Below are 19,656 nucleotides of genomic sequence, written 5' to 3'. Positions count from 1 at the left end.
CAGCCCAGCTGGGACAGCAGATCTCATTATGCTACTCAGAACAGTGTGCGGCTTAAAACTTAGGAGTTGCTTGTTTAATATTTTCACACTGCAGTAGACTGTGGGTAACTAAAGCCTCAGAAAGCAAAACTGCGGATAAGGGGACTAACTGTATTTTTTAAATTACAAAAGTAAAACATTGTCATTTAAAAAATGACAGCACAAAAGGGTATAAACTGAGACATAAAATCCTTCTTGATATATATAGCTCAGTTTTCTAGGATGTTATCAGTGTAAACAGCTTTTTTGTATATTCAGTAATGCATATATGAGCATTTCTCATATATGAACATATATGTATTCATATATATACATATATACCGGATATGTACACACATAATGCTTTGATGTAGGCTTAATAAAAGTTTGGAGTTTGTCAAGTTTTTTTTAATAATCAAATTGTGGGGAGGGGTCCTAACTTCTCTTTAACATTAATAAAACTGAATTGTGGTGCCAAGTCCTGATGAGAAATGTGTGGCAGGCTTCCTGGTGCATCTTGCTTTATTTGATATATATTTTGTATTTAAGATGATTGCCTTTTTCTACATCATTTCTTTAGTACTATAATAGCAAAATAGTTCTTGATTGTTTCATTCATGAATGTTCTCCCTCGTATTAGGCCATCCATCCTGTTTAAAGTTTTCCCCTGAACTAACGGTTCGAGTGAAGGCCTTACGGTGGCAGTGCATCGAGTGTAAAACATGCAGCTCCTGTCGAGATCAAGGCAAAAATGCGGTGAGTATCTCTGCCTTCTAATATGGGTGTTTCATTTAGTAGTAGAATGTACGACCAGCATTTTCATCTAAGTATGACTGGTTATTTTTCAGACACTTGGTCCAGTAGCATTTAGAATAGCCGGTAGTCTCTTTAAACTACATGTCATTAGTTTAGAATGCTTGCTAATTTAGACTTCAGTTATGTCTAGGTAATTTGTAAAGCACTTAATTATATATTTGCAGAGAGACTAAGCCACATTAAAGAAATACTCCCCAAATTTCTTTGAGCAGTACAGAGGCATTCATTTAGGATGGTCAGTTGATATATTAATTACAAGTCGCCCTTTTCTCATTATTAAAGCAGACCAGGGTTAGCTTATTTCTGGTTATTGGATATACTTGAAACTAATGAAACTTTAGTTCTTTATCAAAGATTGGCTGGAACATAACTTTTTGCTAACTCTATTTACATAGTTAATACAAATTAAGGAAACTTTTAATATTATGGTCACTCATCTCTTTTATTTATTTATTTTTTTTGAGAAGGAGTCTCACTCTGTCGCCCAGGCTGGAGTGCAGTGGCACGATCTTGGCTCACTGCAACCTCTGCCTCTCTGGTTCAAGCAGTTCTCCTGCCTCAGCCTTCTGAGTAGCTGGGATTACAGGCACATGCCACCATGCCCGTCTAATTTTTGTATTTTTAGTAGGGACAGGGTTTCACCATGTTGGTCAGGCTAGTCTCGAACTCCTGACCTCATGATCCACCCGCCTCGACCTCCCAGAGTGTTGGGATTACAGGCGTGAGCCATTGCGCCTGGCTTATCTCTTTTTTTAAGATCCCTGAAGCTTTCTAGGTTTTATGCAGTCATGATCGTAACATGTTTCTGCTTCATAAGGTTAAGCAAAACTGTCCTTTCTTTTTTCTAATAGGATAACATGCTCTTTTGTGATTCATGTGACCGAGGTTTTCACATGGAGTGTTGTGATCCGCCACTCACCCGTATGCCAAAAGGTGAGAAATACTTTCTGAAATAAAACTGGGAATATAAAGGAGGATGTTAGTGAAAGCACATTTTATCTACTTTGTTAAATGAAATAATAATTGGATCTTTCTTTTTGAGGTTGTATAAGTAGGAAGAGAACTGTCACCTTAAAAGGTGGGGGGATAGTCTTTCTGAGTGGGCATCTTAACATTCTTACATGATACGGATTTATTGTTATTTTCAATATCTAGGCATCCATCAATGGTGAAGTGGTTCATTTATACATATTTGCCAGTCTCTAGCTAGAAGATAAAATACTTGCCTTAAATATATCTTGAAATATCTCTTTATTGAAAGGAGGAAATAAAATAGTATTAGGTCGTGTTGATTATATCACTGCTTAGCACTTTTGAGGGCCCTAGAGCTATAGAGATATGGTTTATTCAAAACTTAAAAAAAAAACCTTTTTATGAAATACTTTATGAAATAAAAAGGTTTTTTGTTGTTGTTGTTGTTGTTTTAATGAAATACATTCTGAACAAATAAGTGTCCAGATTGTAAGGGCGCAGCTTAATGTTACTCTTTTCTTTTGATTCCTGTTCATTGAGAGGTATTTAGTTTGGGCATAGTTGCCTCATGGTTGGACTTCCATATTCATATGCTTATAGGTTCTTTAAAAAAAACTTCAGCCAGACCCCTCTTTTTGTCCTATCACAAATTCCATTTTAACTCTGATTTTATAATTTATAGGCTTCTTAAGTAAAATGCCTATAGGATATTTCATAATATTTGTTTGGAAAAAAATTTCCTGTTGATAGAAAATGACTTAACCGTACTTTGTAGTCATGTTAACACTTTAGGTTTTTACTTGAATTCACTTATTCCACCCCCTCACCCATGGAGTCTCACTCTGTCGCCCAGGATCTTGGCTCACTGCAGCCTCCACCTATCAGGTTCAAAGCGATTCTCTGCCTCAGCCTCCCATGTAGCTGGGACTACAGGCGTACCACGACACCTGGCTAATTTTTGTATTTTTAGTAGAGATGGGGTTTTGCCATGTTGGCCAGGCTCGTCTTGAACTCCTGGCCTCAAGTGATCTGTTCGCCTCGGCCTCCCAAAGTGCTGGGATTACAGGCATGAGCCACCGCGCCCAGCCTGAATTCACTTACTGATTGTTACTTTTTGAAACGTCTTCAATTTATAAATACTAAAGAATAAATACCCACTTTTTCCATTTATGTGAAGTCTGAGCAAGGGGCCTTCTAAGAGTCCTAAGAAAGGTTTTTTTTTTGGAGTTGGAATCTCACTCTGTTGCCCAGGCTGGAGCCCACCTTGGCCTCCCAAAGTGTTGGGATTACAGGCGTGAGCCACCATGCCTGGCTTGCAGCTAATGTTTTTTGTAGAGATGCAGTTTCACCATGTTGGCCAGGCTTGTCTCAAACTCCTGACCTCAGGTAATCCGCCCACCTCAGCCCCCCAAAGTGATGGGATTACAGGCATGAGCCACTGTGCCCAGTCAAGAAACATTTCCTTAGGACTCCTTTCTTGTGTGTTTAACTTCTACAAAAGAGATTATATAGCAGCTTTAGGCAGGAAACTTTTTTTTTGAGACGGAGTCTCACTCTGTCGCCCAGGCTGGAATGCAGTGGTGCAATCTCGGCTCACTGCAACCTCCGCCTCCTGGGTTCAAACGATTCTCCTGCCTTAGCCTCCCGAGTAGCTGGGACTACAGGCACGTACCACCATGCCCAGCTAATTTTTGTATTTTTAGTAGAGACAGGGTTTCACCATGTTGGCCAGGCTGGTCTTAAACTCCTGACCTCAGGTGATCCACCCGCCTCAGCCTCAGTGGACTTCAAGTGCAGTCAGTGGACTTCCAGTGCAGGCTTGAAGGTGTATGTGAGTCTCTTCCAATTATTTGTAGAATTTTGTGTGTATATGTTTTAATGTTTATTTTGGATTGGAGGGGGTATTCATCAGATTTTCTAATGACAGTCTTTTACCTGAAAAAGTTAAGATCCTGACTTAAGACTATCTGAAACCTTTCAGTGTATTTATGTCTGTCACACTTCTATGTGGAATTTTATTTTTTTATAGGCATGTGGATATGTCAAATATGTCGACCTAGGAAAAAAGGACGAAAACTTCTACAAAAGAAGGCAGCACAGATAAAACGGCGCTATACTAATCCAATAGGACGTCCAAAAAACAGGTTAAAGAAACAAAACACGGTGTAAGTTGTACTTGTGGCAAGGTGAGGGGAGAAAAGGATAGGGTCTTCTCTATAGTGTAGGATTCACTTGTTTTCTCTATGAAAAAAATTCCATTGTCATATCTGGCACTTTTATATAATAATAATGGCTAACACTTATTCAGCCCTTAATAAGTGCCAGACACTATTCTAAGTGCTTTATATGCATTGAATTGTTTAATTCTGCCAACAACCCAGTGAAATATAGCTGCTGCTGTTACTTTCATTTTTCAAAGGAAGAAACTAAGGCATAGTAAATGTTGAACTGGGATGAAAATCCGAGTAGTCTGGCACCAAAGTCTGACTCTTAACCATTGCTTTATGTTGCTTCTCTTATATAAAAACAGGAAAGAAAAAGTTGTTACTGTGACATTTCACATGTCACTCTCCTGATCTTGTCTCAGTTGTTAATATCTATTAGGTGTACAAATCACTGGATAGGTTCTTCCTATTGAGGTGATGGCTAAGTCCCATTTTTGTGTTCTTTGGATGTAAAATAATTTGAATGTTTTCATCTATTAGCAGAAATCAGAAATTGTGGACTAGAAAGCTGGGCTATGTCTGGAGGAGGTGGGGCAAGATTCAGTAGCTAGTTTTGTCTTTTTAAAAATGTCTGTAGTAACTCACCTTTGATGATATGTAAACGTCTTCAGGCTTGTCAACCTCCCTTTATTATCAAAAGTTTTACTTACTTTTTTTACACGTAAGACTATCTTGAAGGTGATATAACTGAAATGAATGGGCATTAGCAGCCTGAAATGTACAGAACCAATATTGTAGTCTATATTCAAAATCTTAAATCAAGCTTTGATTTTCCTATAAAATGATCTTTTGATTCCTGGCCTTCGAAGAATAACCCATCCTTGTGTTTTAGAGATAAAAGTATAACTTTCAGTTGGTGCAGAGATCACAGTGTAGTAGAACTTTATACCTGGAAGGATCTTAGTTGTTCTTAGTCCAGTTCTCATTTTACAGATGAAGGCACTGACATATGTTTAGAAAAAATGTGATTTGTCCAAGTCGTACAGCTAGTAAGAGAGAATTATGACTAGAACAAGTCTTCTGACTCCTGGCCTGTCATTCTTTGCACTATAAGTAGGCTTCCTGGCAATAGATGTTTCTAATAATAATATTAATTTTCATTCACAGAGTACTATTTATAGTTTGCAGAATATTCTTAATAATATAGATTTTAATAAAGCTGTAGGTTACTTACTAATTATATGTTATGTATTAAAAAGGAACCTTACAAGTATCTTTTTTAATACTTACCCTTTCCCCTGTTTAATTGTTTAGATCAAAAGGTCCCTTCAGCAAAGTTCGAACTGGCCCTGGAAGGGGTAGGAAACGAAAAATCACTCTTTCCAGCCAATCAGCATCATCATCATCAGAAGAAGGATATTTAGAGCGGATAGATGGCTTGGACTTCTGCAGAGATAGCAATGTCTCCTTGAAGTTCAACAAGAAAACCAAAGGGCTCATTGATGGCCTTACCAAATTTTTTACCCCTTCCCCTGATGGGCGGAAAGCTCGGGGGGAAGTGGTGGACTACTCTGAGCAATATCGAATCAGAAAGAGGGGCAACAGGAAATCAAGCACTTCAGATTGGCCCACAGGTAAGAGTTTAGAACAGACTTAGAAACAAATAGTATTCTGTACATGTATTATTCGGGATAACACTAATTATCTATAATGGATTTATATTTGATTATTAACAATTGGTTATAGAATATAAGAACACATTGAAAAAACATGTAGATGATACTGAGGTGATAACTGTGGCAGGAATTTAGAGGATGGAAATAAAGTTGCAGAATGGGACAGTAGGAACTCTTAGGCAAAAGGAAGCTGCTTTTTTGTAGAACCACAAAGAATCTGCCTAGAGAAACTTGGGGTGTAACCTTGAGGATTACTTTACATTTCACAAATTACTAAAGAAATCATATGGTGAATGTTATGATGCCTGCTTATTCCAGGAAGGAAACTGGAAAGAATAGAACTGGGTGAAATGCTGTTGATCTAAGCATAAAAAAAAGACCAAAATATTTGCAGATGTGATGAGGTCATTGACTTTTCTACTTCAGATCTTGACAAATATAGTTGTAAGTCATGGATTGCACTTAAAAAGGGAGAGACAGAACCACAGCTCCAGGCTGCTTATGTATCAGGCTAAGTTCCCTAATTTTCAAAGTAGAAAACATCTGTGGAGAGGACTTAATAATGTGGCAAATCATTCAAGTCAGAGGAGAAGAATTTGATTAACTGTCCAATAAATTAAAGCTTAAAATAGTCTTATTGCTGAGCCTTGAATTTAGAGATACTAACCCTGTGAAGGAAGTAGAAAGGGCTTGAAGAAAGTAGAATGAGAATGAACTCTTTTGGACCACAAGGGCCAGAGGTGTAGTGTCTCATCTACTACAAGAGAATTCCCTGACCTTGGTTTCCTCCCTGAATGTCTCCTTGGTGAGGGAGAGTGTATTCACTGCTCTCATTCGTGGTTGATTGTCCAGTGCAGGAGAGAAAGTCCTTGTAATTGTCAGAGTCCCCTTTGTATGCTTTATTGATTGGTCTTTTACCATAGTGATGATCAACTAATTACTCTTTAAGCATTCAAGACTCTTCATGTCTTTATCAACCTGTAGATAAGTTCCTGATCTGAGCATGTTTATCTAAGAAAATATGCAATCCGTTTAGATTAAACTAGGAAAGAATCTCAGAGCAAATCCTAATGAAAGACATTTTTGAATTAACCATTTGTACTGGAGACGGTTTATTAGAAGAATCTACTAGAAAGCTTTTGAAATAGAAATTGTTAGAGCAAGTGTATCAAGTATATGGAGAACCAATATTGAATTTTTGACAGTGGTGTGAGCGTTTGCTTTAATAGGCTCTGTCATTTTCTTTATGAATTATAAAGTTTAAGTACCGAATGCTGTATTAGAGAGGTGCATGCATCATGCACTAGGGGGCATTAAAGTCACATAGTACCTTTAGATTGTACTTTTTTCTTCCAGTTTGAGAATGTTGTCAACAGTGAGTCCTTGACTTTTTTCTTCTTGTGTTAAGTTAATAACAGATGGCCCATATGTGCAGTTGACTTGAGAACTGTCACCAATTGGTCTTTTCAGCCATACTTATAAAGAGAGCAAATGAGCCCAACAGCAGTGTCATCTTCAAATGCAAAGGATAATGATCTTCATAAGTCCCAAATACTCTCTTCACTAGTTTTTTGCCAACTTGAGGAAGTTCCATCATTTAGTAGATAATTATCATACGTTTTCATATTTACCCAGATGATTATCATCTGGGTAAATAGAGTTTGTGCTTTAAAAGGACAGTGTTTTAAAGTTTGTGCTTTAACTTTAAAAGGGCACCCAGAATGTGATGGGAGTTAGTACTGCTGACATCAGTTAAGGTAGCTACTCAAGAGGTTTTTTTGAACGTTGATGCATTAAACCTATACTAAAAGTGTCAAATTTATACTATTTCAAAATGAAATTTATATTCCTTATATCATTTTTCTGTCTGCCTTTCTGTGTATTAAAATGTAATCTTTAATGAAGTTTAAATTTAGTTATATAATATTTTTAGGAAGCTTTAAGACAATTCAGGATTTCCACTATAAGGCAGATTTAATACATAAATATTATTTATTGAGTAGCATTCTTCTAAGAGTCAGTTTAATGCTATATTCTTCGTTATATATTAAGTTCTTCAAATTGAAATAAAGACCTGAAATTTTTTCTAGTTCATGTATTAATCTGGGGACAGTTAACATGTGAGCTCTTTTTTTATATGTAGACAATCAGGATGGCTGGGATGGCAAACAAGAAAATGAGGAGCGACTTTTTGGGAGCCAGGAAATCATGACTGAGAAAGATATGGAATTATTTCGTGATATCCAAGAACAAGCACTGCAGGTAAAGTTGGATATTCAGGTTAGACAATCAAGCAACTTGTTCATGGCTGAGAAACAGCAGATTAATTACATTGTGGGTTAAGCAGTAACAGCAGTTTGCCTAATCTCAGAATAGTTGTGGTTTGTGTGTATATGTAGTTCTGCTGTTTATAATATTCCTTTCAAACCCATGATAACTGCTTTGGTTTTGCAGATAAGCACATGGCTTTGACTATCAATATTAAATAAGCTTGGTTTATTTTTTGTCTTACTGTATGAAGAAGAATTTGGGATTTGACCAAAAACAAACAAAAAACAAGCTTCTCATGAGTGATAAAACACCTATATTTATTAATTCAAGAAGTATTTCATGCCTGTAATCCTAGCACTTTGCCAAGGTGGGTGGATTGCTTGAGTCTGGGAGTTTGAGACCAGCTGGGGCAAAATGGCAAAACCCCATCTCAAAAAAAAAATAGAAAAATTAGCCAGGTATGTTGGTGCACACCTGTAGTCACAGCTATTTAGGAGGCTGAGGCAGGAGAATTGCTTGAGCTGGGGAAATGGAGGTTGCAGTGACCTGAGATCATGCCACTGTACTCCAGCCTGGGTGACAGAGTGAGACCCTGTCTTCCAAAAAAAAAAAAATTGCAATTCTTTGTGACACATGGCAAGATCGTAAATATATAGACAGAGTCTATGTGCCACATGCTGGAGATGCCAGTGAATGACTGAATTCTTTCCCTGAACTATAGGAGAGATTTGTGAATAAGTAATGTCATTAATATGAAAAGTTCAATTATAGAATACTTGATGTTTTGGGAGAATAGGGAAGCCAGCTTCTACTTCTGCCTGGGGAGGTCAGAGGAGGATTCATTGAGGGGCCTTAAAGGATATGTAGGAGTTGTACATATCCCTTAAAGGGATATGTAGGGAGTTGGTTCTTATATAATCAGAAGGAACAGAAGTGAAGGTGGAATAGACTTGAAGATAGGGGAAAACATGCTTAATTGTGGGAATTAAAATGGCTCAGGATAAAGAATATAGGGTGTGGAGAATGGCAGGAGGTGAGGTTGGAAAAGTGCAGGGGCTAGATCATAAAGGCTCTTCCAGATTATGTTCATTTATTTTTTGTCTTTTCCTTCTTTGCCACCAACAAATGTACCATGTAAGCCAAGTTCTCTTTTATCTTGAAAAGAAGAATTTCTAGGCTGGGCACGGTGGCTCACCCCTGTAATCCCAGCACATTGGGAGGCCGAGGCGGGTGGATCACTTGAGGTCAGGAATTCGAGACCAGCCTGGCCAGCATGGTGAAACCCCGTCTCTACTAAAAATACAAAAATTAGCCGGTGGCACACGCCTGTGGTCCCAGCTACTCGGGAGGCTGAGGCAGAAGAATCACTTGAATCCGGGAGGTGGAGGTTGCAGTGAGCCGAGATCGTGCCACACCACTCCAGCCTGGGCAACAGAGTGAGACTCCATCTCAAAAAAAAAAAAAAATTCTAAGGCTGATGCCGAGGGTTCTAGGGAAAACTCTTCATATTAAGAGACCCAGTGGTGGTGAATAGACTGTTGATGTCGGTCATTATGTGAGTACTTTTGGAAAAATAAAACAGCAGTACAAATACTCAGCACGCATTTACTCAGCATTCTGCTGTATTATGATTTAACAAAATATTGGCTTTGATTCAGGTGGATCTGGGTTCAAGTCTTGATCTGTCATTTACTAACTTCTCCTTTGGGCAGGTTGCCCTCAAAGCTTGTTTCCTTTCATGCTAGTGAGTTATTATAGGTACTCTAGTAGAAATCTACATGGACTTCAGTGGGAACTGAAAGGAGGCAGTAGTTATGTTCTTCCTGACTGAAAGAATTTTTTTTTCTCCTCCCGAGTAAGTTGCAGACATAATGTGTTAATATCCCTTTACTCCTAATTTTTTGTGTGTATTTCCTAAAAACAGAAATGTTCTCATACATGACCATGGTCCAATCATCAAATCAGGAATTTAACACAAATTAAGTACTATTATCTAATTTAGTTGTCACGTCTCTCTAGTCTCCTTCCAATTGGGAACAGTTCCTCAGTCTTTATCTTTCATGACCTTGACAGTTTTGAAGTGCACAGGTCATTTATAGAATGTCATCACTTTGAGCTTGTTTTATTTTTCATGATTAGAAAATTCCACAGGTGTGCTGTGTCCTCCTCAGTGTGTCACATCAGAAGGCATGTAATATCCAAGTTCTCATCACAAGTGCTGCTAACAGTGACCACCTGGTTTAGGTGGTATCCATGTTTCTTCTCTAACATTGCTTTCTACCTATAATTAAGTATCTTGGGGGGACATACTTTGAGACAGAAATGCAGATAACCTGTTTTTCATCAAACTTTTATCTACCACATTTAGCATCCAGAGATGATTTTTGCCTGAATCATTTACTTTGTTGGTGGCCAAACATTATTTTCTAATTCTATCATTTCTTTGCCATTTATTAATTGGCATTCTATTGTAAGGAGAAGCTTTTTCTTCTTCCTATTTGTTTATTCATTTTGTTTAAACTCATAGATTATTTTATGGTTATAATCCATTGCTATTAGTATTTATTTTGATGCTTAAATTGTTCCAAATTTAGGCAGAGGGGAACTCCTTTCTAGAAGCTCCTCTGTCCTTTTAACACATCATCATCATTTTTATTTACTTCTGGCCACAGCAAGATGTTCTAGGCTCTTACTGTTGTAGCCATAGATTCTGGCTTTTAGTGGTGAACAAGAGTAAATGGTAGCTCTATCCTGTACTTGCTTAGGCCCACAGAGATGTCATCTTGATTTTTTTTTTCTCTGTCATACTTCACATTCAGTCCATCAGCAAATCCTAATGGTTCTGCCTTCAGAATATGTCTGTATTTGCTACTGCCAACCCACTGTCATCTCTGGCTTAGGCTGCTATAATTGCCTCCAGACTAAACTTGCTTCTGCTTTTGCCACCACCCCACTCTCTAGTCTATTTTCTTCATACAGCGGCCAGGGTAATTATTTTTGAACGTAGGTTGGATTATACCACTTCCTTGCTTAGAAAACCTTTCATGTCTTACAGTCTTCTTTAGAATTAAAAAAAAAAAAAAAGAGTCTGTTCTCTCATCTCCAAGGCTGTATATGATTTTGTGCCTGCCTCCCTCTTTGGCTGCTCTTTTTGCTCTCAGGCTACTCCAGCCACAGCCGCCTCCTCTTCCTCAGACACACCAAGCATGCCTGCCTTGGGCCTTTGCAGTCGCTGCACCTTGCCTCGATGGCCCTTCCTCTAGAGTCGATGATTTAGTAGGTTCACTGCCCATTCCATTTAGGTCTTGCTCATATCCACACGAAAATAGCTTACAGCCCATTGTGTCACTCTATCCCCTGACCTGCCTGCTTTTTCTGCATAGTACCTACCACCTCTTGAATTTAAATTTTTTATTTCTAGAATGTAAGTGCCTTGAGAACGAGGCCTTTCTTTTTTTTTTTTTTTTTAAATTATACCTTAAGTTTTAGGGTACATGTGCACAACGTGCAGGTTTGTTACGTATATGTATACATGTGCCATGTTGGTGTGCTGCACCCATTAACTCGTCATTTACATTAGATATATCTCCTAATGCTATCCCTCCCCCCTCCTCCCACCCCACAACAGGCCCCGGTGTGTGATGTTCCCCTTCCTGTGTCCATGTGTTCTCATTGTTCAGTTCCCACCTATGAGTGAGAACATGCGGTGTTTGGTTTTTTTGTCCTTACAATAATTTGCTGAGAATGATGATTTCCAGCTTCATCCATGTCCCTACAAAGAACATAAACTCATCCTTTTTTATGGCTGCATAGTATTCCCTGGTGTATATGTGCCACATTTTCTTAATCCAGTCTATCATTTCTGGACATTTGGGTTGGTTCCAAGTCTTTGCTATTGTGAATAGTGCCGCAATAAACATACATGTGCATGTGTCTTTATAGCAGCATGATTTATAATCCTTTGGGTATACACCCAGTAATGGGATGACTGGGTCAAATGGTATTTCTAGTTCTAGATCCTTGCGGATTCGCCACACTGTCTTCCATGATTCTTGAACTAGTTTGCAGTCCCACCAACAGTGTAAAAGTGAGAACGAGGCCTTTCTTTTTGGTCACTGCTATCTACTGAGTACTTGGAATATAGTAAAGGCTCAGTAAATATTTGTTTAATGAATGGATATTGAATGAAATTTTCTTCTGGGAGAAATGGGGCAGGAGTTGAAATAATAGAAAGGTGCAAGAAGGATGACCAAAGAGAGTTAAACGGGTTGCTGAGCCCTGCTGAGGCTCGGGGAGACAGTGTAAATGCTTATTGACAGTAATCGGGCTAATCCTATGTTTCTTTCCAGCATTTGATTAAACTCAGCATTGTCTGTGTGTGTATTGGCACCAAGGAAATAAACAGCTAGATCTTGGAAGTCTAGTTCATGCTTATTTTTGTTGGCAGTGCACTGAAATTCTGATGATGGTGCTATTTCTCCATGAGGCTTATTCATTTAGCATCATGCACCTGCCTTGGTACCAGAACTATAGGGCAAACAAAAAGACACAGACTCTGCCTTCATGAAGCTTTTAGTTTCACAAACAGACAGATAATAAACACTCATAAAAATAAAACTGTACTTACAAACTGATAGTCGGAAGGAAATGAGAATGCAGTGAGGGGTTCTGACGGGCTGGGCTACCTTGCTGAGGGTTGGGGTTGGAGTGTTTATGAGAAGGGAAGACTTTTGAAGAAGTAACAATTTATACATAGTTCCAAAAGAGTATTCAAAAGTCAGCAGAGTAAAGAGCTAGAGAAGAACATTTCAGAGACAAGTGGATTGCCTATGTAAACGTCTAAGGGTGTGAAAGAGGTTGATAAACTTAAGGAACTGAAGTTCAGTGTAACTCAAATACAGTGAACAGAAGAGTTGCATAAGGTGAAGCTGGGGAAATAGACTGAGGCCAGAAGTTAGAATTGGGGTTTTTATCATAATTGCAGTGGGAAGACATTGAATGGTTTTTAGCAAGGAAACAGCAAGATCTGTTTCATTAAAAAATGGTTTTTCTTGGCTACTACATAAAGAGTGGTTTAGAATTAAGCAAGAGTGGAAGCTGGGAAACCACTTTGCAGGCTTTTCCGGTGATCAGGATGAGAGAAGATGTTAGCTAGGACTAGAGGGGTGGTGGTAGAAATGGGAGAGAAGTGGATGGATTTAGATATATTTTGGAGTTGGAATCAGCAGAACTTAGTGATGAGTTTTATGTGTAGCTTGAGGAAGCAAGAGATGATCAAAGATGACTTCCAGGTTCTCTGACTTAATTTAATAAAGAAAGTGGTTTGAAGCCACTTGGGAAAGTTCATGTTGACTAGATAAGAGGACATTTTGAATAATGAAAGGATTCATAAATATAGTGCAGAAAGTCATTTTTGAGAGCATAGATATAGCTTAGATGATGCTTGAACCTGTGTTTCAAAAATTTTGCAGGTAGATTTTATTACAGTGTCTTTGGTAGTCTTACAGCAGCATCAGCAAAAGACATGATAAAGGAATTAATATTAGAATCCATCCAACTAATAACACATTGTTTATTGAGTGCCTGCTATGTTCTAGAAACTATGGTACGGGGAGGGGCTATCAGAAGGACATAGTTTCTGTTCTCTTAGAGCTTATAGTCTGGAAGGGACTATCTTGAATAATCAAACTTTGCATGGAACATTATCTAAGTCAAAGATAATTGAAATATTTAGCAAGATTTTTTTCAAAAGGAGTCAGCCACTTATTGGTTTTAATTTTTTTAAAAAATTATTGCAGGCAGTAGGGTAAGTATGGATGTAGTTTGCCTAGTACTGTGTTCCATCATTAGCTATACAACATACACTTCCATGAAAAAGAGCCACCTCTGAATACAAAAGTGGAAGCATAAAAAAATTAGTAGTATAGGTTTTTGTTCTAGAATTTTATTTCAACTATGATCTTACGAGCTTGGAGAAACTATTTTTCTTAAAAGACTCTGTCAGTAGAAAGAAGCATTTGTGTGCATGTGTCTTTATAGCAGCATGATTTATAGTCCTTTGGGTATATACCCAGTAATGGGATGGCTGGGTCAAATGGTATTTCTAGCTCTAGATCCCTGAGGAATCGCCACACTGACTTCCACAGTGGTTGAACTAGTTTACAGTCCCACCAACAGTGTAAAAGTGTTCCTATTTCTCCACATCCTCTCCAGCACCTGTTGTTTCCTGACTTTTTAATGATTGCCATTCTAACTGGTGTGAGATGATATCTCACTGTGGTTTTGATTTGCATTTCTCTGATGGCCAGTGATGGTGAGCATTTTTTCATGTGTTTTTTGGCTGCATAAATGTCTTCTTTTGAGAAGTGTCTGTTCATGTCCTTTGCCCACTTTTTCATGGGGTTGTTTGTTTTTTTCTTGTAAATTTGTTTGAGTTCATTGTAGATTCTGTATATTAGCCCTTTGTCAGAAGAGTAGGTTGCAAAAATTTTGTCCCATTTTGTGGGTTGCCTGTTCACTCTGATGGTAGTTTCTTTTGCTGTGCAGAAGCTCTTTAGTTTAATTAGATCCCATTTGTCAATTTTGGCTTTTGTTGCCGTTGCTTTTGGTGTTTTAGACATGAAGTCCTTGCCCATGCCTATGTCCTGAATGGTAATGCCTAGGTTTTCTTCTAGGGTTTTTATGGTTTTAGGTCTAACGTTTAAGTCTTTAATCCATCTTGAATTGATTTTTGTATAAGGTGTAAGGAAGGGATCCAGTTTCAGCTTTCTACATATGGGTAGCCAGTTTTCCCAGCACCATTTATTAAATAGGGAATCCTTTCCCCATTGCTTGTTTTTCTCAGGTTTGTCAAAGATCAGATAGTTGTAGATATGCGACGTTATTTCTGAGGGCTCTGTTCTGTTCCATTGATCTATATCTCTGTCACATGCACACGTATGTTTATTGTGGCACTATTCACAATAGCAAAGACTTGGAACCAACCCAAATGTCCAACAATGATAGACCGGGTTAAGAAAATGCGGCACATATACACCATGGAATACTATGTAGCCATAAAAAATGATGAGTTCATGTCCTTTGTAGGGACATGGATGAAATTGGAAATCATCATTCTCAGTAAACTATCGCAAGAACAAAAAACCAAACACTGCATATTCTCACTCATAGGTGGGAATTGAACAGTGAGAACACATGGACACAGGAAGGGGAACATCACACTCTGAGGACTGTTGTGGGGTGGGGGGAGGGAGGAGGGATAGCATTGGGAGATATACCTAATGCTAGATGACGAGTTAGTGGGTGCAGCGCACCAGCATGTCACATGTATACATATGTAACTAACCTGCACATTGTGCACATGTACCCTAAAACTTAAAGTATAATAAAAATAAATAAATAAATAAATAAATAAATAAATTTTTTTTTTTAAAAAAAGAAAGACGCGTTTGTATTCAGTTCATTCCAGTGGAGCATGACCACCTTCTTGAAATATATAGAATGATTTTTACATAAAATATCAAAGAGCACATTGTATTTTCATACAGATTTTAATGCTTTCTGATTCTGAAGGATTCCTTTGGTTTTTGTATGGTTCTGGAAAGTTACAGAGCATTTTTGAAATCTGTGCGGGTTATTAAAATTTCTTTGCGTGAAGAGTTAAATCATTATTAAAAATACAGTAAGCTAGTTTCAACAACTTTATTAACCCCATGATGTAGAGGTGTTACCCCATTTTACATATGAGGAAACCAACACTATTAGTTCAGTGACTTCCTGTAAGTTTTTATGTTAGTGGAGCCGAAATTAAAACTTAGGCCATGTGACTTCTAATTCTGTACCCTTAATCACAATAACATCCTGCATTATTCTGTATACGGGATGTCATGGGGGTAGCAAAATCATTAGGCATGTGCTAAGTGCAGGCAGGTAAAGGTGCATAGGAAGATACACAGCAGACAATAGCTTAGAGTACCAATGAAACATAGTGCATTGCTGTATTAAATGATTCAGACTTGTCTCAGATGTTCACAGTATACTAAGATGTGTGAGAATTGGCGCAACCTGAGATGATCACAGAAGCAGCAGTCCTAAGGAATGATGAGGATTTAGGTAGATGGAGAGAACTAGGGCTTATCAGATGGAGTAAACAACATTAACTTCAGCTTTGAGGAAGCAATGACTACTATACAGGAGTCCCCGCGTATCCACCAGTGATACGCTCCAAGATCCCCAGTAGATGCCTGAAACCGTGGACTGTACTGAACCCTGTATGTACTGTATTGTGTTACATGAATGTAGTCTGTCTCTCTCTAAATCTCTTATTGTACTATTGTACTGTACTAACTCTTCTGACGGTGTGAGATGATAAAATTTGCACCGAGGCTGACGACAGGTAACTAGAACCTCGAAAAGCAAAGCTGGGGATAAGGGGAGACTACTATAAATAATTCCAGCTGGAGGGCAAAGACGTATTATCTGTGTATTCCAAGAACCTGCCACTGAGATAGCAAGCAGAAGCTCACATTTATTTGGCACTCACTGCATGAATGGCATAGTGCTGTAAGTTCTGTGCAAATATCAACTCGTTTAAGCTTTTCAACAAATCTGATAGTGACTTGCCCAACTAAGGTGATTCAGCCGAGATAGGATTTGAACTGTGCTAGCCTTTTCTAGTTCCCAGGCTCTTAACTACTATTTTAATAAGTTGTGCTAAATTATCCAATGAACTAAAAATACATCTATGCGGCCTTTAATATGTGACTTATATTTAATGGGTAAATGCCTTAACACAGTAAACATCGCCCCACCTACCATTCCTACTTTCAGCAGCATCAAGGAGACATCACTTAACAGCAAAAAGATGTCATGGGGGTACCTTAAAATCCCGTCATGCCGAAACTGACATCTTGTTACTAGCTTTCAAAATGCTCCAAAATGCAGCTTAATACTAGTAATTCAGTGTATTACCATTGCCCAACAGATGTTCCACCCTGTCTTATCTCAAACTAAACTCCAGCTATTCCTCACTTTGCATGGTGCAATGTTAACTGAAACCCATGCTTATCAAACTAAAGTAGATTGAAGGAACAGGAGATGATCAAAGATGACTTCCAGGTTCTCTGACGCTGTAATAAAAAAAGTGGTTTGAAGCCAGTTGGGAAAGTTCATCTTGGCTAGATAAGAGGATGTTTTGAATAATAAAAAGACTCATAAAGGTAATGCAGAAAGTCATTTTTGAGGGCATAGATACAGCTTAGAAACTGCTTCACCTGTGTTAGGGTTGGCAAAATATGGCCTGTGGCCCAGTCCCATCCACAGCCTGTTTTGTATGACCTGCAAGCTGAGGATGGTTTTAATATTTTTAAACAGTTGGACAAAAATAAAAAGAATAATATTTATGGACATGTGAAAATTATGTGAAAAATGTTAGCGTTCGTAAATAAAGTTTTATTACAACATACAAAAAACCCATGCATATCAGAACTAAGGTCAAATCTGTCACCTCAGAAGCACGGACACAATTCTGATGTGTACCTGTTTCCATTAACACAGTGCCATCAAAAACAAGGACTGCCTGTCTTACAACACCTTTATGGGCAGATACTGTGTTTTCTATATCATCTCCACAGTGTGACTTGCATGTAGTAGGTCCTCAAATATTTGTTGATCTGATGGGCCAATAATCACCCTATCTCCTGTATTTACAGTAATCCCCCTTTTATCTGTGGTTTTGCTTTCCATGGTTTCAGTTACCCTTGGCTTGCCAAGGTCTGAATTTTATTATCATCGTCTCCTCCTCCTCATCATCATCAGAAGGGTGCATACCATGCAATAGGATATTTTGAGAGAGACCACATTCACGTAACTGTTATTACAGTACATCGTTTTAATTGTTCTGTTTTTAGTTATTGTTGTTAATCTCTTACTGTGCCTAATTTATAAATTAAATATCATGGGTATGGATGAATAGGAAAAAACATAGTATATACAGGTTGACTATCCCTTATCCAAAATGCTTGGGACCAGAAGTGTTTTGGATTTTGATTTTTTTTTTTTTTTTTTTTCAGATTTTGGAATATTTGCATCATATGCTTAGCCGTCGAGCATCCTGAATTCAAAATCTGCAGTGTTCTTACGAGCATTTCGTTTGAGTATCATTAGTGCTCAAAACGTTTCAGATTTTGGAGCATTTCAGGTTTCAGATTTTCAGATTAGGGATACTCAACTTGTATAACATTTAATACTATCTGCAGTTTTCAGGTATTCACTGTAGGTTTTGGAAAGGTGTATTCCCAGTGGGTGGATAAGGGGGACTATTGAATAAACAAGTAATTAAAGCCATGTGGTTAGTAATAGATACCCTCTTATTATATGTAAAATACTATATTCAGCATTATATATTAATTTGTTTCATTTAATACAACTTTATTATTAATTACTTGGCCTCATCTTACAAATGAAGAAATGGAAACATTAGAAGGATTGTTTTACCTAGAGTTATAAATTGTTAAGTTTCAGAGTCAATATTTGAACCCTGGTATTCTGACTCCATGGCCTTAACTGCTTAATTTATGATATAGTATTACTGTGGAGATATGCATAAATTGCAGTGAGAATGAACAGGAAGACATCTAGGGATGTTATTGTTCTATTTTTAGTTATTGTGGTTAACTAAAATTTTAAGTCTTTGTAGAGGAGGTGACATTTGTGTAGGGTGCTGAAGGGATGAGTAAGTTTACTATTGGAGAAGAGTGAGAAGGCATTTCTAGTAGCAAGTTTGGGTGTGAGAAATCGTGTATTCTCGGAGCTGTGTGCAGTTGGTTGGAGTTCAAACAAGAGATGATATTGGAGGGGTACTAGATCATGAAGATTTTGTGTTTCATATTAAGGAGTTTGTACTTAATCTTGCAGGTAAAGTAGCTCTTTAAAGTAGTTAAGTAGTAGCTAAATAGCTCTTGAGGAACTGCTAAAGAATTTCTAAAAAGTGGATGACATCATATTTGTATTTTAGAAACTCAAGTCTGGTGATATTGTCAGCAATGGATTGAGGAACACCTGAGCAAGGGACCAGTCAGATGATTACAGTAGTCAAAATGAAAAGTGACTGGGGCCTAAATGAAGGTAGAAGAGATAGATAGGAGACAGAGATAGATAATCGTTTTGAGAAAGACTTAAGATAGAATGGAAAAGACTGCTGTTGGATTGGGAGTTAGGATTGAAGGAGAGGGCAGAACCAAGTAGGTCTTCTAGTGTTCTATTTGGAGTAGATGATGGTATTACATGTAGGAATATAGGAAAAGAAGCTTATTTAGATGGAAGAAGAGACCATGCTTACACAGTTGTGGGATTGTGTGAAATCTAAAGTGGAGAACTTTGGTAGATGGTTGTGTACATGTATATACAGGAGACCTTGGGTGGGAGATTTGCTGTGTTACCAGCACATGTGATTGTTTAAAATTTTTATCAAAGATAATATTTATCTAATAATAAATATTACTAAATACTGGCTACCATGTTCCAAGCACTAGAGATTTAGCAGTGAACAAAACATTAAATAAAAAATGTCTTCCTCTTGGGAGCTTACAGTTTAGTTTGGGTTGGAATGGGTTAAAATAAATGGTATGCCATGTGGTAGTGTTATGGAGAAAAAGCAGGGGAGGAAGAGGGAGAATTCAGAGGGAGAGGATTAATGTATGCAGTATTAAATTGGTCAGGTGGGGACTGTCTCTCTGACA

General features: G+C 37.9%; 1 protein-coding gene across 2 annotated transcripts in view; it reads left to right on the top strand.

The window, feature by feature from the left end:
- Window positions 1–19,656, top strand: part of KAT6A (lysine acetyltransferase 6A) — a 122,509-nt gene that overhangs the window by 69,375 nt on the left and 33,478 nt on the right. For both annotated transcript variants that reach the window (NM_006766.5, NM_001305878.2), the window contains exons 4-8: window positions 659–774; window positions 1,686–1,767; window positions 3,836–3,971; window positions 5,286–5,605; window positions 7,791–7,909. In NM_006766.5, the coding sequence (NP_006757.2) occupies window positions 659–774; window positions 1,686–1,767; window positions 3,836–3,971; window positions 5,286–5,605; window positions 7,791–7,909 (773 nt within the window). The remainder of the gene's footprint in view (window positions 1–658; window positions 775–1,685; window positions 1,768–3,835; window positions 3,972–5,285; window positions 5,606–7,790; window positions 7,910–19,656) is intronic.

Source organism: Homo sapiens, chromosome 8 (assembly GCF_000001405.40).
Source record: "Homo sapiens chromosome 8, GRCh38.p14 Primary Assembly".
Classification (NCBI taxonomy): domain Eukaryota; kingdom Metazoa; phylum Chordata; class Mammalia; order Primates; family Hominidae; genus Homo; species Homo sapiens.
The sequence above is the reverse complement of the archived record's forward strand: the minus strand, read 5'-3'. Positions and strand labels throughout refer to the sequence as shown.